This window comes from Homo sapiens, chromosome 5, assembly GCF_000001405.40.
Source record: "Homo sapiens chromosome 5, GRCh38.p14 Primary Assembly".
Classification (NCBI taxonomy): Eukaryota; Metazoa; Chordata; class Mammalia; order Primates; family Hominidae; genus Homo; species Homo sapiens.
Window position 1 is genome coordinate 144,242,809 of NC_000005.10, and position 26,297 is coordinate 144,269,105.

Below are 26,297 nucleotides of genomic sequence, written 5' to 3' on the forward strand. Positions count from 1 at the left end.
AGAACTCACTTAAGCCCAAGGAGAGGCATTAATCTATTCATGAGGGATCTAACCCCATGACCTAAGACCTCCCATTGGGCCCATCTCTAATATTGGGGATCAAACGTGAGGTTTGGAAGGGATAAATATCTAAATCATAGCAATTATTATTAACTGAAGTCCATAATGTATTCAGGTTTAGTTTTTACCTACTGACCTTTTCCTGTTTCAAGATTCCATCTGGGATAACATATTACATTTAATATTTTATTTCCTTAGGCTCCTTTGGCTGATGTTTTCTCATAATTAGACTAGGGTTATGGGTATTTGGGAGGAAGACCATAGATGTAAAGTGTCATTTTCATCACATCATATCAAGGGTACACATTATTAATGTGACTTATTACTTTTGATGTGGATCTTGATTATTACTTTTGATGTGGATCTTGATTATTTGATTGAGATAGTGGCTGTCATGTTTCTCCAGTATAAAGTTACTCTTTCTTTCTCTTTTTCATACTGTACTCTTTCAGAAGAAGTCACTATGTGCAGTCCACACCTAAGGAGAGGGAAGTTGTGCTCCTCCTCAAGGGGAGAATATCAGCATAAATTATTTGGAATTCTATTATCTCTTTGTATGTGGTAAAATACTCTATGCCTGATGACCTTATTATTTGGATCCCATGTGTATTTGTTTATGTTGTGTATCTGTTCTATCTTTTTGTTATCCTTTTTTCTTTTCTCTTCTTCTGTGTGGCTTATTTCTACTAAATCCCAGACATTTATTTGAAAAAACTTCAGAGTAAAGTGAAGTCTAAGATGATTTTCCTCCACAGAGGATTTATTTTTACTTAAAGCAGAAGACTACGGTACTAGCTACCCTGGGTTACCTTAACCCAAATTCAAAGGTCCAGATGACTTGAAGAACTTCTGTCCCCATGAATACTCTTTTTTTTGTTTTGTTTTTTTTAGAGAGAGAGAGAGTCTCGTTCTGTCACCAGGATGGAGTGCAGTGGCACGATGTTGGCTCACTGCAACCTCCGCCTCCTGGGTTCAAGTGATTCTCCTGCCTCAGCCTCCTGAGTAGCTGGGACTACAGGTGCACGCCATCACGCCCGGCTAATTTTTTTGTATTTTAGTAGAGACGGGGTTTCACCATGTTGGCCAGGAGGGTCTCGATCTCCTGACTTCATGATCTACCTGCCTCGGCCTCCCAAAGTGCTAGGATTACAGGCATGAGCCACCGCGTCCAGCCCCCCATGAATACTTTTCTATTTATGGCATGTAACTCTTTGGGAGTATTCTAACCAAAGCATGGAGAGTTTCTAAGACTCCCCACTCTTTGGGGGATTCAGGACTGTAATTTATGTCTTTGTGTAGCTCAAGACCCTCAAAATCTCTTCTCAACATCTTGGCAATTTATTTTGGGATTGTCATGCTTCTATAAAAAGAGATGGTTTGGTCAAATGATCTATAAGATGCTTGATTATGACATACTGAGTTATGCTAAGACATGGTTCCTGCCTACTTCTATTTTAGTTGTGATTCTAAAGGTATACATAGGAAGCATTAAGAGCAAATTTGATAACAAAGTGCTAAATTGCATTGTATAGATAAATAGAGATAGGAAAGTCTATTTGCAGTTGGCTGTCATGCAGTAGAAAGAATAATCACAAAACAGATATATATAAAGGACAAATTGGTGAGGGTTGCTAAGTCAATTCCACAGAATTGGACTAACTGTTTTTCTTTTCATTTTTGCACTTCCATATCAGATATACTTTATGGTCAGGTCAATGTGTGATCCATTATATCTCCATATTAACAAAATAACCTCTTTAACACATTAAACCTGTGTTTTTGCTTGGGATTGGAGAGATCTCTATTTTTAGATATCTTTCCCAATGTACCTTCAAAGTAGACCCAATTCCTAGTTTCTCACTTTCCCTAGACTGATCTGCCAGGAGCCTTTTGTGGTCAGAATTCTAACCTTAACTTTGTATCATTTTGAGCTTCAGATTCTTAATTGGTAAAAATGAAGCCAGTAACAAATCCCCTCCTAGGATGGTTTTGAGAATCAAATGAAATGTAGTAGTGACTATGAAAGCTCCTTGAAAGCTGAAAATCATGGGTGAACTGTAACATCATTAGGCATTATTTTGGCTTGTCATCAGATGTGAACCTTGGAGATTATTATAAGATTAGAAAGCTCCAGATATGAGAAGACAATGATCAATATTCTATTACAAGCTGATCATGACCCTCAGAAATTTAAACTGTATGTTTTGTTTATTCCATTGTACATTTATTTATTTATTTGACAAATAATTACTAAATATCTTCAATGGACCTGCTATTGTGCTGGGTGATGAGGATTAGGGAGAAAATACACACACAATCTTTGTCTTAAAGAAGCATACAGTCTAGAAGGGAGATAAAAATTAATCAAAGAATCAAACTAATAAATGGAAAGATACAACTGTGGTAGATACTTTGAAAGAGAAGACTATTTTAATATAAGAGTGTATAATGAGGGAATAGAGGGTTTAACCTCATCAGAGAAGTCAAGGAAAACATCCGCAAGGAAGTTATGGTTGCGGTGCGACTTTAAGTATAGGAGTTAACAAGACACATGGAGGAAATAAGAGTATTCCAGGCAAAAGGACTAAAATCTGCAAAAGTCTTGAGGGAGGAAGAAGAATGACATGTCTGAAGAACTCAAAAGGGTCCAGAATGGGAGGAAAGCAGAGGACAAAGAGGAAGTGGGGCTGATGTGGTTTGGATCTGTGTCCCCATCCAAATCTCATGTTCAACTGTAATCCCCAATCTTGGAGGTCAGGTCTGGTGGGAGGTGATTGGATCATGGAGGCTGTTTCTCATGGTTTAACATCATCCCCCTTGGAGCGGTTGTTGCAATAGTGAGTTCTCATGACATCTGGTTGTTTAAAAGTGTGTAGTACTTCCCCCTCCTCTCTCTTCATCCTGCTTTGGCCACGTGAAGTGCTGGCTCCCCCTTCACCTTCTGCCATGACTGTAAATTCCCTGAGGCCTCCCCAGAAGCAAATGCTGCCATGCTTCCTATGAAGCCTGCAGAACCATGGGCCAATTAAACCTTTTTTCTTTATAAATTACCCAGTCTCAGCTATCTCTTTATAGCAATGTAAGAATGGACTAACATGGGGACACAAGATGGCATTGAGATTCAGACACTACAGGGCTTTTTGGGCTATGGTAAGAATTGTGGTCTTTATCCTAAGGACAGTCAGTGAGCACTCTTGAGGTGTACAGGGCAATGATGTTATGAGTAAGGATGCTGCATCACAGAGATCAGCTGATGTTTGGGCAGAGAGTTGGTCTTCATCAAGCTTCATATTAGTCAGCTGAGTCTCCACTTTTCTATCATTATGTTTATAGGGAAGAGTAATTTAATGTGAACTCTTCAATCCAGAGTGGGGCTTGTAAGTTTTTGTTTGGGAGTGCATTATCAAAAAAGCACTGAATATAATTCCAGGTAACATTAAAAAATTATCAGGCTATGTCCATTTGCTCAATAAATGGTGGCTATTTTGCAGAAGCCATTAGGATACAAATAAGGGAAATCTGGCTTTGAGTTACATCTGATAAACATTTATTTAGGGGACAAAATATTGGGAATATCCAAACAATAGAATATCTTGTTTCATTCTGTTTAAAATCTAATAGAATAAAATAATTAATATAGAACTTTTATGGCATGTAATTTTTAAATTAAAGTTTTAAATACTTGTTGTGTGTTAACTTAGGAGAAACTGGATATAGGGTATTGTGTACCCTATCTCCATATCACCTCAAGTAAAACACAACAAATCACCAAATGATAATTTAACATTGACAAGGTACCATCATTGACAAGGTGCCAACATTGACAAGGTACCATAATCATTAAAATCAAGCCTTTATTGATCTCCTTCTCCTCCTCCTCCTTCTTCTTCATCATTGTCATCGTCCTTGTCATCATCGTCTCCCCTTTTCAGGCCCTCTGATTTCTGTGTCATTCCTCCAACTCCCACATCATGTTCTTTCTTGCCTCCTCTAGCCATGGAGAAGATGTATCAGGGAGAGCATGAACTTTGGAGTCAGTTATACATTGGTTTGGCTCTCAGCAACACCTGTCAACAGTGTGATCTTGAGCAAATCATTTAGCCTTTTGCAGTTCATGTTCCTTTTACTGTAAATTCAAGATAATGGCATTTCTCAGGGGTATTGTGAGAATTAACTTAGTTTATTAGGTAAAGCACTTATTCTAGTTTCTGTGGGATTATGTTTTTCAATGATGGTGGTTGCAATAGCTCCCATCCCATACACTCTTTTACATGACCAGCTACCCTAATATTCAAAGATAGGGATTATTTCTTCTCTGTGACTTGTGACTGCTTTGACCACAGAGTATGATGGAAATGATGACTATGACTTCCAAGACTGGGTAATGAAAGACATTGAAGCTTCTGCTTTGTTTACTGAAACACTTCCTCTGGGGGCCCTGAGCTGTCATGTAAGAAATCTGATCACCCTGAGGCAACTCAGGCACACAGAGAGACTACTGGGAGGCTCTGTCAACAGCTTCTGTTGAGATCCCAGCCACCAGCCTGCATTAGCTGCCAGTTGTGTGAGGGGAGAGACCTATAGATGATTTTAGTTCCCAGCAATCAAGTCTTTCCAGCTGTGGCTCCAAACATGGGAGCACAGATAAACTATTCCCACTGTGCTGTCTGAATTTCTGGCCCATAAAATCTGTGAATATGATAAAATAGTTGTTTGAAGCTGGTTGTGGGGTAGGTAAGTGTTGGTAGCAACTGGAACAGTTTTCAATAAATTATAGTAATTAATACCATGATCATGATTATTATTATTACCTACTTTACAGGGTAATTTTTATGTAATACATTACCAGAAAAGTAAACCAACCAATACTGCTGATTATGAACACACTTAAAGCCTAGAAGATGTTGTAGACTATTTCTTAATTTTCCCTCTAAGTCATTGTTTTCAATGGGTGTCCAACGGTGTCTTCTCTCTCAGGACTTCCTCCTACTTCTCTAATTTTCCCACCATCTTGTCTGTCCACTGTTCTTCCCTGCAAGCAACACCTGATGAGCAGGTCCTGGGCTATTTTCCATGCTCAGTGACTCTGACGTTAGGAGGAGGCATGTGATTTCAGATTCTTCATTTATGTCATAAATATTTATTGAGCTTCTTTTATGTAGCACTGGGAATGTGGCAATGACTGAGACAGATAACCTTGCCCTTATGGAGCTTTCTTTCCATTTTGGGGAATTAAACAATGTGTCAGATAAATAATCAAAATATACAGTACGGGAGAAGGAAGTAAGCCCCTTGGAGGCAGAGACTTGAGAAAGGGAGAGTAGGGGGCAGTAGTGCCATTTAAGAGAGAGTTACAAGGATGATGTCATTGAGAAGAGGCAATTTCAGTAAAATCTTGAAAGAGGCAAAGAAAGAAAGCTTTATGGATATCTGGAGAATGTGTTTAGTGCAGAAGAACCAGGAAAATCAAAGATCTGAGCTGGCTCATGGGCATGAGTGTTCAAGGAACACCAAGAAGGCCGGTGTGGATGAAACAAACTGGCAGGAACTGTGGACAGTGAAGCAAGTGAACTAAATACTGTCCAGTCTCGTAGGACATTGTGAGGAATTTGATTTTGTCTCTAAGATGGGAGAACAATAGAAGATTTGGACAAGAAAGAATATTATCTGACTTTCATTTTAACAGGCTCCCTCTGGCTGCTCTTTTGAAAATAGACTGTCGAGAGATGTGGTTGGGAACAGGGAGACCCATTAGGAGGCCATTCCAACCATTTAGGCAGGGAATGAGTACTACTTGAAGCCATGATAATAGGAATGAAGAAGGTGAGAAACAGCCTCTGGCTTTGCTGATGAATTGGATGTGTCACGGATGACATTGTGGTTTTTGTTCTGAAAACTAGAAGCCTATCATGACTATTTCTGAAAGAGGGAAGGCTGTGGGGGCAGTAGGGTTGGAGAGAAATCTTAGTTTGGGACATGTTGAGTTTGACATGCCTATTCGTTTCCACCATGGAAGAATCTTTCAAAGGTAAATATTTCCTGCTTCTCTTAAAATAAAAACTCAAGGTGCTAATATAACAAAGACTCTGCCTCTTTACTTGGTCTCAGCAAAGATCCTGATCTTGGAAATCAGATCGAGTCACTCTCTCCTTAAAGCTATCCAATGGCTTCCCTCTTCATTTAGAATAAAATACAAATTCTTTACTACATATCCCAGGACCCTTCCTATATGTATTACTTGTCCAGCCTACCTTGCAACACCCTCGTCTTCATTTCTCATGCTACTTCTATAAGGACCTTATTTCTGTTTCTTGAACATGCTAAGATCATTTGGTCTTAGGGACTTGCAGTTCGTGTTCTCCGTTTCTGTAATATTCTTATACTCTTCCCATTTTTTTTCTGCGTCAGAGGCTCCTTGTGATTATTCAGATTGCAGCTCATGTGTTCACTCCTTAGAATGCTCTTTTGTAATCATTATAATTATCTCCATATTACTTCTCATCCTCTGAAATGATTCATTTATTTATTTATACATTCATTGATTGTCTCCTTCCCCTCCCCTCTCCCACAAAGTATCTTATCTGACTTGTTTGCCACTGTTTACCTAATACAGTGTCTGATACATCTTAAGCATTCAGTAACTATTTATTTAATAAGTTAACGGGGGTAGGAAGGAAAGGAGTTGGTGGAGAGAAAGCCTATTCTCTGTTATAATAAAATCTTTAAAAATTTAATACTGTCTTTATGTTGGCTACAATTTTGCCTCCGTTGCTTAATTAATGCATTTTATGTTGTAGAACTTACAAATTGCAAAGTATTTCATGTGGGTTTTTGTATTAACAATACAAGATCAATAGGTCAGGCTATCCGTATTTTATATATGAAAATGAGGCTTACTAGAACCAGATAACTTTCTCAAGGTTACTCTGCATTTAAATGACAGAGCCTGACTTTGAACCTATGTCTCATGACTTTGAGTCTGATGTTCTTTCCAAATAACATGCTAGGTCTCTATGATATCACAGGCACTGATACTGTCAGAAGGAGCAGCATTTAACTAAATGGGTCAGATAAAATTAGAAATGGTCTCAAATTTTGCTGACTCAAGTCTTTGCCCACTTTTAGAGCCAAATCAGATTTATTAATATCTTCTGACTGGTATATTTAAATAACTTTCTTTAATTTACATACATATTTCTCAGACTCCGGCTGCTGGCAGTGTAACAGGAAACATGCTTCTTTTCACATTTTTACCAAATTTTAGAAACTCTGGGGGCTTTATCATATCTGAGAAGCCTGAACTAATGGTTGGTTCTAATATGTTCCACAAACCACAGCACTTTCTACAGTACTCATTGCAACGTGAGGAATTGTGAGCCATTTCCACCTTGGGTTATTTCCAGCAGAGCTGCACAGAAGGGGACCCACCACACTCTAGCTCTTTCTGCAATCATCTGCTGCTGTGTTAACCTAACCATGGTCCAAAATAATGCACACTTTAACAGAAGTGGTGCTTGGAGGTGAGTATGGGGAGGGAAGTGGGGTCCTCCCAGAGTATCTGTAGCCCAGAAATCACAAAATTGACATTTTACATTGGAATTCTTTGTTTTACTTGCTACACTTCCAGAAACGTTTTTCTCAGAACTGTGGGGGATACAGAAATGCAGAATCTAGCCTTTGTTCCGAGAAGTATACAGTTTAGTAGGCAATTTACATTTGCTCTCAAATAACTATAGTGCAAATTAGGATTTAGAATAGATGCAGCCTAGAGTGTATGGTTAAAGGCTTACTTTTTAGAGTCAGACATACTTGGGTCCAAATTGTGACTCTACCACTTATTAGTCAGAGTTTTTTGGATAAGATATTTAACCTTGCTAAGCCTTTGTTTCATTTCATAACATTGGGCTAACAATATCTATATGTCATCTATATGTGTCATTTCATAACATGGGGCTAACAATATCTATATGTATTATTATGCATAATTGCATTCATGATATATTTATGTAAGTGGATTAACACAGTTTTTAGCATATGGTAATTGAAAAATAAATGCCAACTTTTACAATTATTATATATATGTATATATGTTTTAAAATGGTATTGTTATCTAGTCTCCTGCTCTCGATAAGTAGCCACATTTTTACTTTGAGGAAATATTATTGGTAAAATTTCAAAAGAGAGAAAGTTCAGGATGTATGGGGAAGTGGCCAGTCTCAGTTTGGCCAGAGTTTGGGATCTGTGTAGAGAAGTCCTGAAATATAAGAGATAAACCTGGTAGGGTCAATTAAGGCGAAGCTTGAAGAATTAAACTTTTTTGAAGAATTTTAGCTTATCAAGCTAAAAAGTCTGCATGTAACAGATACAGAAAGGTAGTAGGGGGTGGTGTGTTGTTTAAAAGGGAGTTCTGGAGGCAAAGTACCTGGGTTCTCACTCAGCTCCACTATTTACTGCTACATAACCTTGGGCAAATTATGTAATCTCTGCCTCAGTTTCCTCATTTACAGTGAGATTATAAACATAGGCTTATTTTGAGCATTATGAGATATTACATATTCATTAGTAGCTGAAAGCTTGGCAAAGCATTAAATCAATGGTAACTATTATTATCTGAACAGAACTAAATAGTTGATTTAAAAGTAGCAGAAACAATAGACAACCTTTTCAATGCTATTATATAACTAAAATGGACATGCTGATGAATTTTGAGCAAGGCAGCAATAAAAAGTGACATTTTAAACCTACTCTTCAGTCTCCAAAGATGTGGCTTTTCTTCAGGAGTTTCCTGACCATTTACGCAGTCACCTTCTGACTGGAGGTAACCGTAAGAATTTCTATGCAAAGTGGAAGGTTCAGATGCAATTTATATATACAGGCATGCCAATGGCAGCTTATAGTTCATGATACATCAGTATAGTATATGTAGTAAATCTATTCTTGAAAAGTTAGGTGTTCATTAGTTTTTCATAAGTTGAATATCTTCAGCATATGAAGAAGTCTTTCTTTTGAAAAATACTATCATTAATTAATGTTTAAAATGTAAAGGAGACAACCATCCCATTTATCATCTTTCCTTCTTTTTCCTACATCTTTATTAAAGTATAATTAACAAATAAAAACTGTGTATATTTAAGGAGTGCAATGTGATGTTTTGATATGTTTATTTGTGAAATGATTACCAAAATCAAGGTAATTAACATATTCATTGCTTCACATAGTTATTATAAAATATTTTATGTGTTTGTACATGGTGAGAATATTACAGATCTCTTAGCAAATTTCAAGTATACAATATGGTATTATTAACTACAGCCAGCGTGCTGTATATTAGATCTCCAGAACTGATTCACCCAGCATATAACTGAAATTGTTTACCCTTTGACCAACAATAAAATCCAAGTGTTCATTTATTTGGATGAGTATAAATCTGAGTAAATAGTACTTACTAAATAGCCCATGTCTGGGGCTATCTAAAACCAAAGCAGAGTTAATCTTGATTTCTTTTCCTTTTCAGGAAATCCACAAATATTTCAATCTGCCATTATTAATTTTCAGTGTGTCACTTTTCTTTCGATGCAAACATTTGACAGGTGGCCTTAGCACTTTTCATGAGAACTCAAAGTAGATGAATAATAAATAGAAATGTCACTTCCCTAGAAAAACTCAAAGAGCCAAAAGTGTTCACCTTTGAATAGTACAGGCTAGGGTGACAATTGGCATCTGCAGTCTCACAGGTGAATTTTTTTTTTTTTTCAGTAGGGGTTCAACCAGATCACTAAGAATCATTCCATTGAGTTAGTTGGATTTCAGGAAGATAATGAGGCTCATGTCAGAAAACCTTAATGGAACATTTTGCTGGAAAAAACTGTGCAACTAGATTATGTACATCAGAGAAGCCTTGAGATGGACGCTGGTGTCAGGAAAGTTTCATCTCTCTCTAATTATCTTTAACTCAGTAATTAGAGCCTGGCTCTATCACATCACAGCTTAGAGGAGGGTTGTTTTTTTTTCTCTCATCTTGCCTTTTTTTTTTTTTCTCCTTCTCCCCTTTGTCTCTTTTCCCTTTTCACTGTGAATTGATTGCTTTAAAATCAGTAGCTCTTTTGGATTTCCATGACCTATTGTTTGAAGCCAGACCTGCTTGGAGCCATTTCTAATTCTCTTAATAAAGTGAGTAGTGTTAAAAATATTATAATTTAGATATATCCATATGGAAAGGGATCACCAACTACATTTAGAATATTTTATGCTTCTCCCAAATGAAGCCCCCTTTCGTTGTCATATTTATCCCCAGGCCAACATGTTGTCTTTTCCCTAGCCCACCACTTGCAGGTAGATACACATCTACCTGAATTACATATTTATATAGTGCATAATTATAAATTACAGATAGATATCCCATGTATCACTTTTCATTTAGTCATGTAATATTGGAATCTGGGCTTCCATAAAATATCTTCTATTATGAAAATTCTCAAGTATATATAAAAATTGAGAGTGTAGCATAATGAACCTCATAGACTTATCACAGGCTATGATGTTTCCTGTGTTCTTGTATCTTCATGATGCCAAGAATTGTTACTAGCACAGAGCAGATGCTTTATTCTGTTTTCTCACCAAGCTGATAGCTTATTTATCAAACATATTCCTTCTTCAAATATAAGGACTAGCTTTGTGTAACTTTACTACTTGGATCCCTCTTTTTTGGGGGTTCAGAAATAAACTTGGTGCAGACATGTGTCTATAGAAAATAACGGAATCATTTAAAGAAAAAGAATACCGTTTTGGGCACCTTTCTGTATTTTTTTAAAGATGTTTTACCTGTTTAGTGGAGAGAGACTTAAAAGAAGCATTTTTCCTCTCCTGAAGTGTGTCTTTTATTACAAATTGAAATTGTGATTGAAGGTACTTAACCCTGAAGGAATAAATGCCTCCAAAAGAGAGAAAAAATACATATACCTAGACCAAATTAAGTGCTAATAAAATCTGAAACCATGTTTTATACTTAAACTTTAAAAAATATGTTTTTCATATAAAAGTTTTTAGATATTTTTCCAGGGGTAAAAAATAAAAGGTTGTTGTCAGCTATATTTTTACTAAATCACTATCATGTTGACTCCCGCATGGGACTTGGGAAAGAAGTAGGCAGCTGATTATGAGTGTCTCTAGGGTAACAATTTGTTGTCTCCTGACCCGTGTATCTAAGGCCTGGATAGGTCTTTGGAGAAAACCAATCTGGTTGGCAAATGCATATTCTTTTTTTTTTTAATTTATTTTTATTTTTTTTGAGACGGAGTCTCGCTCTGTCGCCCAGGCTGTCGTGCAGTGGCGCGATCTCCGCTCACTGGAAGCTCCACCCCCGGGTTCATGCCATTCTCCTGCCTCAGCCTCCTGAGTAGTGGGGACTACAGGTGCCTGCCACCAAGCCCAGCTAATTTTTTTTTTTTGTTTTTTTAGTTAGAGATGGGGTTTCACAGTGTTTGCCAGGATGGTCTTGATCTCCTGGCAAATGCATATTCTAACACTCATTGCATTATCTGGGAAACAGTTTCCTTGCATTTGAGAATAAGCTGATCACCCAACCAGAAGACCTTCTTCTTCCCTTTTTGAAATATGCTGTATTTTATTGACTTACATGCCCTTAAAAAAATGCTAAAAATACTTAACATGAGATCTGCCCTCTTAACAAATTTTAAGTTTACATTGTTGTTGACTGTAAGTATAATGTTGTGCATACAATCTCTAGGGCTTATTCATCTTATTTGAGTGAAACTTTATGCTCATTGGTTAATAACTTTTAATTTCCCCCTCCCACAGCCTCTGGCAACTGCCATTCCACTCCTTGATTCTATGACCTTGAGTGTTTTACATACCTCATATAAGTGGAAGCATGCAGTATTTGTCTTTCTTTTTTTTTTAATCACTCTGTCATCCAGGCTGGAGTGCAGTGGTGTAATCACAGTTCACTGCGGCCTCTACCTCCTGGATTCATGCGATCCTCCCACTTCAACCTCTCAAGTAGCTGGGACCACAGGTGTGCATGCACTACCATGCCTGGCTATTTTTTTAAATTTTTGTAGGGATGGGGGTCTCACTATATTGTCCAGGCTGGTCTTGAACTCCCAGGGTCAAATGATCCTCCCACCTTGGTCTCCTAAGGTGCTGGGATTACAGGCATGAGCCACCATGTCCAGCTCAGTATTTATTTCTGTGATGGCCTTATTTCATGTGGCATAATGTCCTCAATGTTCATCTATGTTGTTTAATGATGTAGAATTTCCTTATTTTTTAAGGCTGAATAGCATTTCATTACATGTATGTGTATACTACATTTTCTTTATGCATTTTTCTGTCAGTGGACATTTAAATTGTTTTCACACCTTGGCTTTTGTGAATAGTGCTGCAATAAACATAGGAGTGCAGGTATCTCTTTGAAAGCCTCAAATTGTATTGATTTCAATTATTTTGGACAGATATCTGTAAGTGGGATTTTTTTTTATCATATGGTGGTTCTTTATTTAAGTTTTAGGGGAACCTCCATTCCATTTTCCATCAGCTGCACCATTTTGCAATCCTACCAACAGTGTGCAGGTTCCAATTCTTCCACATCCTTGCCAACACTTATTATCATTTGTCTTTTAATGATATGCATCCTGGTAGATTTGAAATTATGTCTCACTATGGTTTTTATTTGCGTTTTTCTGAAGTGACATCTTTTTATATACTTATTGGCCATTTGCATATCTTCTTTGGAGAAATGTCTATTCAAGTGCTTAGCCCATTTTCCCTGTCTAATTTTTGATATTGAGTAAAAGGCCAAAGTGCCTTTGACTTTGAAAAAAATTTAGTACCTGGGAGCTCAAAGTGAGTGTAATTCTGAAATTACTTCACTTTGCTCCAGACAATCCAAGGTCATGTAAAACTATCAGCATTTAAAAAGAAGAAATCCTAACATAATCATCAGATTTTAGAGAAAATAAAACCTTAGAGAATGTCTGATTCTTTTACAGATGATAAAATAGAAATTTGGAGAAATTAAGTGACTAGTTGAGATTACCCAACTACTTAAGGGCAAATGCAATTCTAGAAGCAGTGTCCTGGAGCATACTGAGTCACTCAGAGAGACAGTATTAACACTTTAAATACCAAGTCAGTACCGTACCTGTGCTTGTTCTCAAAAATTGTACCAGGATGCTTTCAAGTCTTCATTGGATAAAATGAGATTATGACTGTTACGTTACTGTTTTCTGGGTTTGAATACAGGCACTTTGGATCTACATACCTTCTTTCTTAAACTAAACTCCTTTCCTCACGAACTGGGCATTGCCTGTGGGAATAGATGCAGCATCATTTGGACAAAACAAAAAAGGTGCAACGATGATTCTTTGTACGGATATAAACATCACATTCTACATTCTTTTTCTATTATTTGGAGTCTAAAACCAAAGAAATTCTTCCACTACTATAAACACTGTGACTTCAGCCAAAATAATTGACGGCTGTTTGCTTCTTTTTTTCCCATTAAAGAAAAAATTTGCAAAGTCTGTTGCTAAGAGAAAGACGGTCAAAACACCGGTTTAGTGTGACTGTTTGGAGTTTGTCAAACAGAATCACCCATAGGTTAGTTTTTTGGAACAAAGAGTAAACATACCCATAAGGTTCATTACTTCTTGTGCTGAATTAAGAAGGACAATATCAAGAAAGACTAGTAGCTGATACCTCCAGAAAGTCCCCAAGGAGTTTTTTTTGTTTTTTTTTTTTTAATGTTACAGTCTGCCTGACTTCCCCTGGGGCTAGCCCGAGAGGGGTGCCATCTTAATAGCACTACAAAAGCAACAAGACATTCTGGAAGATCTAGTAACCAAAATGGGAAGTTTGGGAGCCATTCATCATGTTGCTAAAGGAAAATTATTGTATACCAAAAACTTTAGGACTTTAATTTTTTTGCAGATTTCAAATATGAGTAATCAGTGTGATTATATATTGGGTAGAGGACAGATCAGATAAGGTATGATCAACATCTTCAATCCAGAATTTGAAAAGTGGTTTAGTGATATCTTAAAAATCTCCACCCCTTAACTGTCTTTCTGAGAGGGGAGTAGTAAAATCAGAATGTGGAAGGTAAATAATGTGGCAATATATTTTTTCTTTTGCAAAGTAATATGTATATCATAATCACCAAGATACTTTTTGTGTATCTCACTTTTTCTACTTTATATTTGAATTACTTATGTATGTATCTGTATCCCTACTAACTGGTGAGTTTCTAGAGGGCAGTGATTTGTGCATTGTTTACCTTGATATTTCCCAAAGCACAATACTTTGTACATATTGAACAATTGAAATCTAGGACTCATTTTTATTCTAGAACACTCTTGTCACCACTGTAGTAGAACAGTCTCAATTTCACATAAGTGTAAGAGAAAGTTTTTTTGTAAATGCTCAAGATGACAAGATCAACCACTTTTGATCTACAAGGTGGGACCAATCTAAGAGCTCTTACAGCTACTGAACCACTAAGAATGACACATTTGTTTCAGGTTTGCAAATTCTAAAATAATTCCAAACAATGGTGTTTGGAACTTCTCATCCCATGGAGTAATCAGCAGATATTTAGTCATAGTTTCTTTTTTTTTTTGAGACAGAGTCTCGCTCTGTCGCCCAGGCTGGAGTGCAGTGACGTGATCTCGGCTCCCTGCAAGCTCCGCCTCCTGGGTTCACGCCATTCTCCTGCCTCAGCCTCCCGAGTAGCTGGGACTACAGGCGCCCACCACCACGCCTGGCTAATTTTTATATTTTTAGTAGAGACGGGGTTTCACTGTGTAAGCCAGGATGGTCTCGATCTCCTGACCTCGTGATCCGCCTGCCTCAGCCTCCCAAAGTGCTGGGATTACAGGCGTGAGCCACCGTGCCTGGCCTGTCATAGTTTCTTATTAGATTCTTGGGGAATCAGCTTATCATAATGAGTAGTGCAGTGTTTGGGATTGATTTCTGGGACAACACAGCATTAACTACCAGTACCACCAAGCTCTAAGAGTTCAGTAAGACCTAAATTGCCTGAAGCTTTTTCGATAAGTTATAAGGATATTTCTCCCTGGACAATATGTATATCCATTTTAATTCATAGAGCTATAGAGCTATACCCCAGTCTTTCAATTTCACCAACATTGATACTATTTAAGACTATTTATTGTTGTATGCATCAATAGAATGTGAACCATTTTCTAAGTGCAAAAAGACACCATGCTAAGTCCTAGGAATGCTGAAATGAGTAATATCAAGACTATCATAGCAAATTAGATGAAAAGAACATCTATATAAAGACAGTGTCCTACATATTCTAAGTCTTTAGTGAGTACCAATGCATTGTAGTTCCTGCTGTCAAAAGATTATTACACTATATATTATTCTACTACATATTATTATTACTAGATAATATTTAGAATAGTATAGTAATAATAATCATATATAGTATAATATAGAGTACAGTTATCTAGTAATTATTTATCATGGTATTCAAGTTAGTCTAAATGTACCTTAAAAAGTGAATGTATAAAAGTTGCTAACAGGCTTTGTGCTTAACGATCTTTTGTTCAGCTGAAGAGACAATGTTTAGTGTGGTTAAATATATAACCAAAGTGTAGTGTGATTAAAACATGACATAACACAAGAGATGATACATGATTGTGTACAGTTGCAATGGAATTTAAGCAGACCTTAAGCACAATATGCACATTCAGAACAGGAAGAGATAACAATTAATAAAAGTCATTGGGTTCTTCATTCACTGACATATATACTTTAATTCAAACAGAGGAAAATACAAAAATTGCTCATTTCTCTTGAAAACAGTATTTTTTCAGGCTATCTGCTAGTATGTTATTTTTATAGTTGATCTAATTTCTTTTGCACAGCTATATGAATTCAGTGCTATTATGTCATTTTATAGATGAGGAAATGGAAACAAGCTTCATTTGCTTACCTGCAGAGAAATGACTCTCAGTAAGTGGTGGAAGTGGACTCATGTGTGTCTGTCTCAAAATCCTACTTTCTTGCCACACCACACTCCTACCTGAAAATTTTTGATGAGCCATAAAAAAAGGGATGAGGCCGGGTGCGGTGGCTCACGCCTGTAATACCAGCACTTTGGGAGACCGAAGTGGGCAGATCACGAGGTTAGGAGATCGAGACCATCCTGGCTAACACGGTGAAACCCCGTCTCTACTAAAAATACAAAAAATTAGCCGGGGGTGGTGGCAGGTGCCTGTAGTCCCAGCTACTCAGGAGACTGAGGCAGGAGAATGGGGTGAACCCGAGAGGCGGAGCTTGCAGTTAGCCGAGATCGCGCCGCTGCACTCCAGGCTGGATGACAGAGCGAGACTCCATCTCAAAAAAAAAAAAAAAAAAAAAAAAAAAGGGATGAAGCATGTCCTTGGGAAAACAGTCAATGAATGAGCAGATCAGACATGAACATAATGCTACTTGATTAGTATCAAATTGAAATGTTCTTCTAAACACACAGTACATTTTATTTCCTTTTCAATAGGCCTTGCAGGATTTTGATGCCATTTCTAAATGTATGGCATTCGAAAACAATTACAGAACCAGTACCTGGACTCAAAGATGTGCCCATTTGCAGACCATGTAGCTGGCTCCCTTTATACAGTCCAAACCTGTCTTCTTTTATTGTACTCAGACGAGTGGCTAAAGAAATGGGTGTTTCCATTTGTTTGGATTCATCCTTTCTTTGCAGAGAAAGATATATTTTCTTAGGGCATATTGTAACCTGCTTTGCACTCAGTGGATGCTCAGGAAATGTTTGATGTTGGCTGACTAGGTGATGGTGATGATACCCTGAATTTCTTTCTTTCAAGTAAAGACCGTCAGGCTCTTTCTTTGACAAACAGATGCAAGTAGGTGACCTGTCAAAAGCTAGCAAAAACCCTGTGGCCATCAAGAAGCCACTTATTTTAAAATAGTAAACATTTTCTTTATAGTACCTTAGTCTCTGTTTAGGATGCCTTGCCCACAGGAATTTAATGGTTCAACCCCGTTCTGTCATGTCATAATGTTCAATACTCTATTGTCAAGGTGATGAATCAAAGAATGGGACAAGAGTTTGCAAATCAGCCCCTAAGCAGGTTGCATTTCATCTTTCCAGTCTGCATGAAATGAAAGGCATCTCTTAGGATAGTTAGCTCAAAAGCTAAGCAAACTTTGGCATAAAAAAGGGAAATAAGAGATAGAGCAATTGTTCTCACTCCATTCATGCAGTTCGTGTATGAGCAGACAAGAAAAAGTCCTGAGAAGTAAGACTGTTTGTGGAAAACCTCTCCTGTGGCTCCATATGCAGTATTCATGTAACTGGGATTGTGGATATGGTCTAGGATGCACTCAAGAATGAGCTGTCGTGTGCTCATTGACAGCATGCAGGACTTGACCTGGAAATAATTAAACTCTGCATGGCCTCTGAGCAGCTAGAAGGGGCCCAGCTGTCTGCTGAGGAAGAAGAGATTTCAAGGGTAAAGTAGTTAAAGAAAATTCTGAAAGATATGATGGAGAAAGAACACCAAGCTCTGCAGCCTTCTGAAGAAGCAGTTTCCTAGGACAAGTGTCTTGTCTAGATCCATTGAAAGGGACAAGGAGCTTCAGTCCTCTTCAAGGAAGAGCAAGGCACAGTAAGGCAAATAAATCCTTCCTATTATTTCTGAGAGCAAGTAATAAAGTTGTTTATTGCTTCCTCCCAAAGAAATAAGAATTATAAGGTCCAAAAAGACATAAATGAAACTATAATGTGAGATTTATGGTCATTTGGGCAGAATCGCAAGTGTATAATTGGTGTAGCATGTCGAAAAAGATGGTTGCCTGTTTTTTTTGTTGTTGTTGTTGTTTGTTTTTTTAAAGCTTGGCTTTTGCCTTGACAGTTTTAGCAATTAATGTCTTATATTTGAGTCTCTATTTATCTTGCCGAAAGAGACTATTATTCTAATTTTTTTCTGTTATATTGGTATTATTTCTTAAGTAGCTATTAATATCATTTTTTATGTAAATGGATATAATTAACTCTATAGGCTGGCAGCTTTCTTTGAAATTTTCTCACTTTTCTCCTTCCTGAGCTTACTTTAATATCTGACTGTAACTTGTAAATATCTGTCTAGAATTGATGAAACGACCCCAATTGGGTCCCAATTAGCTTAGCAACAGAGGCTGTCATGCTTAAGATTTGAGTATCACTGATACAGGCTAAAAATGAACAAATGAAAGAAGGAGCTGTATTTCAGCTCTTTGGGAACAACAACAAAAAAAAAAAAAAAAAGAAAAAAAAAAAAGGAACAGTTGTAGAGGGAACACCTCCCAGGAAAATACCCTAAAGATTTCCTTTACACAAAGCTGGAACTTTAGGAGAAAAATGTTAAAGGAAAATAATTACCAGATTAGTATCTTATAAATTTATTTAAAACACTAGATTTACTGAAAGTAGGGGGTTTTCTTAGAAGATTAATTTGAAAAATAATGTGGCAAAGGCACCCCTTAAGTCACCTCAAATGTGCCTGCACCCTCTCTGCTTCTATAAAAGGGGAGAATTTGACCGAGCATATTACCTCACCCTTTGTTCCTCTCTGCAGCAATTCTTTCATCCAGATATTTCAAAGTGTTTTTACAAATGTAAATTAACAAGCCTCATCACCTCTCTCCATAGAGATGGTTCAATTAAGTAACTCAGAAACGTACCTAAATGGCTTATTCAAGGTCACCTGAGAAGTCCTCTGTGAAATCTGGAAATGGATATTCAAAGTGTAAAAATTCCTTGCAGTTTCACTGCACATCCGGGCTTATTGCAACCCTTGGCAAGTGCCACTGGAGGGACAATTATTTTTCTTCTTTAATCTTTACAGTGAGTCTTTCACCAGTTGGCCTTCTCCCAACCTCATCAAGTACCCACAACCCATGTACCTGAAGCTTCAGTCCTTTCCTCTTCTCACTTATCTGTCCCAAAAGCTGAATGAGGACAATGACTTTTTTTTTAAAGAATCATTTTGATTAAATAAGTACTTCACATACTTATTTTCTCTCAAACTCTTCTATTTATCCATTTCATAAATATTTACTGAATACTTCATTTGTTGCCACTCACTGTGCTAGACACAGGGAGTGCTACAATCATGTTCCTCCCTTTCTGAGAAAGAAAGACAATAAAAAGAAATAGATACCTAGTGGTCAATGCTATGAAGATGGCAAATGTGGCAGGCTGGATGAGATGGGTAAGAATTAATGGATCGGGGAAGGCCTCTCTAAGCAGGGAACATATGAACCAAGACCTGTAACCTGAAAATACATCAGACTTTTAAAGTACTGAAAGAAGAATGCTCCAGGCAGAGGGAACAGCAAAAGTAAAGACAAGAGCTCGGCTGGGAAAGAACTTGGCCAAAGCCTCATGCACCAGGGCAAGGATAGCAGGAGATGAGGCTGCAGAGGAAGGACAAAACTTGTGGGCTATGGGACAAGGTATATAATTCATTGATAAAACAATAATCAACCTGTGAAGGGTTTCAAGCAAGGAAATAACATGACTGACCTGATTTATGTTTTAAAACTAGCAAATGGTGAAGAATATTCTTGCTCTGCAAACATTTTTTATCTTTATCTAATATCAGATGATTTATCAGGTTGAACAGGTTTTCCTATACCTTATAACCACTTGAAGAAACATAAGTAGGAAAACTATGTGCTCTTCTCATTTTAATCCTTTCCACACCAGTTCTTTGAACTCATGAACACAAAACATTGTCTTAAAAGAGAAAGACCTTCCTACTTCTTTGGAGCTGATTTGTTAGTTTTTATATTACTGATCAGTTAATATTCATGCCCTACTCATTTAGAAATCTTCAGTTTATTTGATTCATCTGTCCTCTGTGATCCCAATAGCACAGACCTCTGTGTGACTCTTATCACTTTATTTTGTCTTCAAGTGGTTCCCTTGCCCTGTCTATCTGTTCATGAGCTCTCTGAGGGCTGGGAACTGCCATACTCACCTTAGTATTTCCAGACATAATTCAGAGCCAGGTCCAGAGTAGGTGCTGGTGGACACCTTCTAACTGATAGACAGATGAATGATGATGACCTGGTGACTATATATAATGGATTTTCCCAAGTCAGGACACATTTGAATGTGAAAATGGGTGCTATTAATGATTATGCCTGGGCAATGGGTATAAAGTTGGGCTGGCCCTGGTGAACTGGGACATATGGTCACCTTAGTAATCATTATAATGAATTATCAGAAGAATTGTAAACATTCTAATTCTGGAGGCTTTTATAAGACAATATTATTCTATTTGTCCAAACTGGTTTACAGCAATAGTTCCCACAGCATGGGAGATGTAATGGTACAGGAGATGTTTGTTGGTGGCAAGGGCATCAAGATTAAATAAAACAGATTCACATTTTCGTAACTAAATTCTCTGTTTGAGTCTTCTTTATTCTGATTATTATTATAATTATTAAGTCTCAGTGTGGTGCTAAATTACCTTTAACTCCTCAAACCTCTGCTAATCTTCCTTTTCTATGAACAAATGTTAGAATCGGAGCCTTTGAATAGAAAATGGTATCTGGTTAGAAGTCAATATTATTAGGTTAATTATAATTATTTTTAGTCTTTCCTTCTTTTCATGGCTAATTATAGTGATTGTCCAGGTAGAATTGGGATATAAAATTCAACATTTAATGAGTTTTTAAAAATAAGTATTAGAAGATTAAAAAAATGATAAATGTATACAGATTTTGGCAAAACACATGAAGGTCATGTACAAATGACTGCAGTTTGGGAAAGTAGTTCAGACCAATTATTCCATCTGTTTTAGTCAGCCCATGCTGCTTTAAAGAAGACCATAGACTGGGTGGCTTAAAAAACAGACATTTATTTCCCACAGTTCTGGAAGCTGGGAAGTCCAAGATCAGAGTGCCACCATGACTGGGTTATTGATGAAGGTTCTCATCCTTTCTTGCAGGCAGCTACCTTTTCACTGTATCCTCACATGATGAAGAAGAGAGAAAACTCTGGTGTCTTTTCCTGTACTTATAAGGGCATTAATTTCAGCGTGGGGTTCCACCCTCATAAACCTCATCTAAACCTTGTTACCTCCTCCCAAGAGCTCCATCTCCTAATACCATCACACTGGGGGTTAAAGCTTCAGCATATGAATTTCAAAAAACATTTAGACTGTAACACAAGCCTTATTTCTGAATTTTAGCTTTGGGGTCCCCATGTCTTTTGAACATATTCATCTGAAATTAATTTAAATTAAAATAATTTATGTACTTCTATTTACTTTTACAATCTTTCTCTGTATAAAGATTATGCATGCTTACTGTTTGTGTATGATCCTGAAAAATACATAACAGAATAAACATGAGAATTTAAATCACACAGTATTATAATTCAGGGACAAACACATTTGATATATGAATTTCACGTTTTTCATTTTGTACTTCTAGAAATGTAAGGATTTTGGATCTCTAAATGTTAATACATATGTAAATTTGGATTTACATAAAATACATAAAAGGGTTGTGGGTTTTCATTAAATTAGAAACAATGAACAGGTCAGGAGCTGTGATAGGTCTGGAGTGGTGACTATAATCCCAACACTTTGGAGGGCCAAGGTAGGAGGATCTCTTGAGCCCAGGAGTTCGAGTCCAGTCTGAGCAACATAGGAAGACCCCATCTCTAAAAAAAACATAGAAAATGTAAAAAGTTAGCTGGGCATGGTGGTGCCCGCCTGTGATTCCAGCCATTCAGGAGGCTGAGATGGGAGGATTGCTTGAGCCTAGGAGGTCAAGAAGCAGTGAGCTGTGATGGTGCCACTGCACTCCAGCCTGGGTGATACAGTGAGACCCTGTCTCAAACAAACAAACAGAAACGATTAACAATAGGATGACTTTAAGTCTCAAACTTTTCCTTGTGTACTTAAAAGTTTAATTTAGTCAAAACTCATATACATGTAATATTTAGCACTAATCACATAATTTAAGGCACATGTTTACTAAAAAAACTCCATACAATTTCAATCAGTTATAATGAGATAAGTGCAACAGAAATGAGTAAATCTTCCTTGGGAAATTTGGCATTTAAACTCTTGCCAGAGACATATACTTCCTAGCTGTTAGCAATCTTAACTCTCTACTATAGAAGAATAAAACTATAGCAAATTGAGTTGTGTTCTAATTTTCCGTAAAAGGAAATTGTTCCATTACCTTATCAATCCAACAGTTGTAAGGAGAAAATTATCTACTTATGAGAACTTTACAGGTGTCAGAAATGTGTATTTACATTTTTTTTTCCAAAACAGAAGGACATTAGCATGGTTTAATATTATTACCTTAATCACAAGCAGGTAAGATAGTTAAAAACAGTGAAAACAAACAGCAAAAATAACAACTGCTGCATGCCAGTATAATATCCTGCTTTTCCACTGACACTTTTATTTTCATCTCCCTCTCTAAGGATTTCTTTATTCATAAGGAGAATGACTATACCGTCAATTGATTTTATATTATGAGAGTTGTTGGAATAATACGATCTCCTTGTAATACTTTGTCAGAAAACACACTGAAGTTAAGGAAACAACCCAGGATCTTGAAACAAACTCCTGCCCATGCCTCTGGCTTTATTCAACCTAAATGCTAACAATTTTAAAGACTGTAATCTCCAAGAAGACTAGGAATTCACGAAGTTGGCTGTATCTTCTATGCCCAAAACTGTGCTTGGTTCTTAGAACACTCTTAAATATTGTTGAATGAATGAACCATCATCATAAAAGCTACTATTTAGGAACATAAATATATGTCATGTGTGATAATCAAGATGTATTTGAAACTGTCATTTAATATGCCAATTCTAGTCCTGACAGCAATTCTAATCTATGGTTATTACTATTTGTATTGTCTCATTGAGAAAACAAGCTCAGAAATATTACGTAATGTGCCAAGTTCGTACAGGGATACTATTAGGAATTCAAAGCTAGATATATCTAATATCAGTGCTTCAGCTTTTTTCTCCTATATATGGCCTCAAAAAGGGTATTATGTATGAAAATGGAAAACTCAATAGTTTACATTCAGAATCAGGTTCTTTCATGTGGTCAGAGGATATTAACATTACTTTTAAAAACATTGAATCCAGATGTGTTTCTGGAATTGCGAAAACAGATTTTCCCAGTGTGTTGCCTCTGAGAGGTTGGGGACAGCCTTTGATGAATGACAACATTAATAATACTTTTAGGCTATGGTTAAAAAACAACAAATATATGTAAGTATGTATGCATGCATGCATATATGTATATGAGTACATTGTCTTCAATTCTCCTTTGTCACTGCCTAACTTTTCTCAATCTGGCACCTGGGGGAAATAAAAAACTGAGAGAGACACCTTGACTGGATAGCTCCTTTCCACAACCTGTATGGAAAGGAGCTGGGCTGCCTTTTGAGGTGAATGGACAGCTGTAGCCAAAGAGAGCCTAGAATATTTGAAGAAGGCAGTAGAGGGTAGCACCAAAACAACGCTGCAGGAGATGAGAGCATCAAAAAGATTTGTTCACCAGAATTTGCAGTTTCCTGCAACTTTATAAATAATTCACTTGGGTAATGTTTCATCAAGAACTGCACAATTGACCTCAAAGCCTGAGAATCTAATGGGCTTATTTAAAAAATGTCTAAATAGAAGCACATCAAGGCTTTGACCAAATACCCTTCCCTAACCTTGTTATGTTTTCTTCCTTCTTGGAGATAAATCTGTAAAACACAAATGAGTTTGTTGTAATTGCCCACCTAGTGTTTAAAATTACAGCTTCAGAGTCATGCTTAATAGGCAATGTGCACAAAGTATATGAACCCAGCTAATCACACAAGATTTCTATTTTTTTTTTATAGCCAGCAGTTGGATACTGTGCTCATCTCTGGGAAAAAATTCATTGAAGCAGACCTTTATTTTACCTCTTTGCTGACCTATTTTTTTCTGTCCTATGATACAGATATTTTAGTTCATCTGGTCCTGAAGCATGAATTTTGGCCAAAGCCTCTTATTCGGTTGGTGCAAAAGTAATTGCGATTTTTGCTAACTAATTCACTGGTTTATATATATTTTTTTCCTTGACACACATACCTTGCATGCAGTAATTATAAAATTAAATCTTCTGGTCATGAGGTGAAATCAGCAGAAAAATGTTGGATGATTTATAAAACTCTATCACCATTCTCAAGGATAGATCCTAAGTATTTGCCAAAGATGATGGTTCCTTACAGAAGATGAATAAGATTGGCTAAGTGGTACAAGAGTGAGATCTGTGTCAGATGGCCTGGTTTGAACCTATGCCCCACCGTATATGAACTGTGTGACATTGAGCACCTTCCTTAACTTTCTGTACCTCAGTTTCCTTGCTTATTAACTGTGGATAATGATTGTTCAAACCTAGGGAGGTTACTTTGAAGATTAATTCAGTCAAAAAAATGGAAGGCACATAGGGAAAGACTGGGGCATGGGAAGCACTTTAAAATGCTGGTTGTTCTTAATTATCCTAAGCATTATGTGAGACAAGCCTCACTTGCTATGTGAGGCTCTTCTTAGCATGCAGAAGGCAAGCAGCAAATATTAATTTAATAAATGAATCAGTGCTTCCTGGAGTTTATACCCCCAAACTGTGGCTTTATCCATTTTTTTCTGATTTTCATTCTGCTTTCCATATCTGTAGGTTGTATTTAGGGGTCAACATTTTCTTTCCCATTCTTCTTACAAAGTTTCCACAGAGGATCTCCTTGATCAATGGAGGAGGCAAAACAAAGAAGCAATTTGTCAAATGAGGTACCATTCTTTCCCTGCAAGTCACAAATCTATGGTGATATGTTTGAGCTGACAAGATTTTGAATTTTCACTTTTCTGCTTGTTTACAGATATCACTTTATACAAAAGCACCATTTGCAAAATAAACTCATCTGAAGGCTTCCACAGGGAATTTCCCCCAACAAAAGGAGGTATTAGTTATTTAAAACTACATGAGTGGAGAGGATTCTGGGAATTCAATGGAGTAGTAAGCACCAGGACTCCATCGCCCCACCTAAACAGTAATTGCACTGGTAGAATGTGTTTGATGTAATAATTTTGAAACTCTGGAGTGTATTGCACGCTTCAGACTTCTAAGGGAAAGCTTGGATAGTAAATTCTGGTTAATTTTAGTTAATTTCAGCTCTTAGCACAGCAGTAGCTATTCATCTCCCACTCCCAGCTCTGTGGCAGGCAGCTGTGCAGGTGTTACTGGAGCAGCTTGCACACAGCCTGAAGGAGCCAAAGTGGGAAAAAAAAATACTCTATCCTCCAAATGTAGATCAGTGCTATGATTGCTGATTCCTGCTTCTGGCCACAGAGGTATAGGCAGCAATATTTGCTACACATCGCGCTATTGTTGACAGCCCTTCCCCCTCCATCTGAGGTGACCTCTAAGGGATTTAAAGGGCTAGAGCACCCTTTTTTTCTACCCCCTTTTTGTCTCTTCCCAGTTGGGAGATGGATATCAAACACAGGACAGTCACAAATAACTTTATATACAGGGAAAGTTAGAAAGTAACTGCACATGCACAGAGAGAGGCACAGCCCAGAAAAGTTTTAAAAAGACCTTAGATTTCCATTTTTTGGTACAGAGACTGTCTACAGTATTAAAAATAAAACCCCCAAACAATAATTTTAAAAAGTAGACCCTGGTTTATAGAGTTAGAGTTATCAGTTTATTAGATTCAAATGTCCACTTTTCCAAAAAAAGATAATGACAAGGCATCCAAAGAAACAGAAAAGCATGAAACATTCAAAGGAAAAAAATTAAACAACAGAAACTGTTCCTGAAAAAGACCTAATGGCAGTTCTATTAGACAAGGACATTAAAACTACTTTCTTAAAAATGTACACAGAACTAAAGAAAGATGTTGGGAAACTCAAGAAAACAATGTATGAACAAAATGAAAATATCAATAAAGATAAGACTTAAAAAGAAACCAGAAAGAAATTCTGGAGCTAAAAATTACCGTATCTGAAATTAAAAATTCACTGGAGGGTTTCAAAGGCAGATTTGAACAAGGAGAAGAAACAATCTGCAATCTTGAAGATAGGACAATGGAAATTATCAAGTCTTAGGACCAGAGTAAGAAAAGATTACAGAAAAGTGAACAGACACTAAGGGATATGAGGAATATCA

General features: G+C 37.1%; 1 protein-coding gene across 7 annotated transcripts in view; it reads left to right on the forward strand.

Moving 5' to 3' along the window:
• KCTD16 (potassium channel tetramerization domain containing 16) overlaps positions 1–26,297 on the forward strand; it is a 314,814-nt gene that overhangs the window by 71,936 nt on the left and 216,581 nt on the right. For 3 of the 7 annotated variants that reach the window (XM_047417449.1, XM_011537673.3, XM_047417450.1), the window contains one exon: positions 7,398–11,371. The exons of the other annotated variants lie outside the window; for them this stretch is intronic. In XM_047417449.1, coding sequence (XP_047273405.1) covers positions 7,398–7,426 — 29 coding nt within the window. In that variant the 3' untranslated portion in view covers positions 7,427–11,371. Of the gene's footprint in view, positions 1–7,397; positions 11,372–26,297 lie in introns of those variants that run through there. 7 annotated transcript variants of the gene reach the window in all.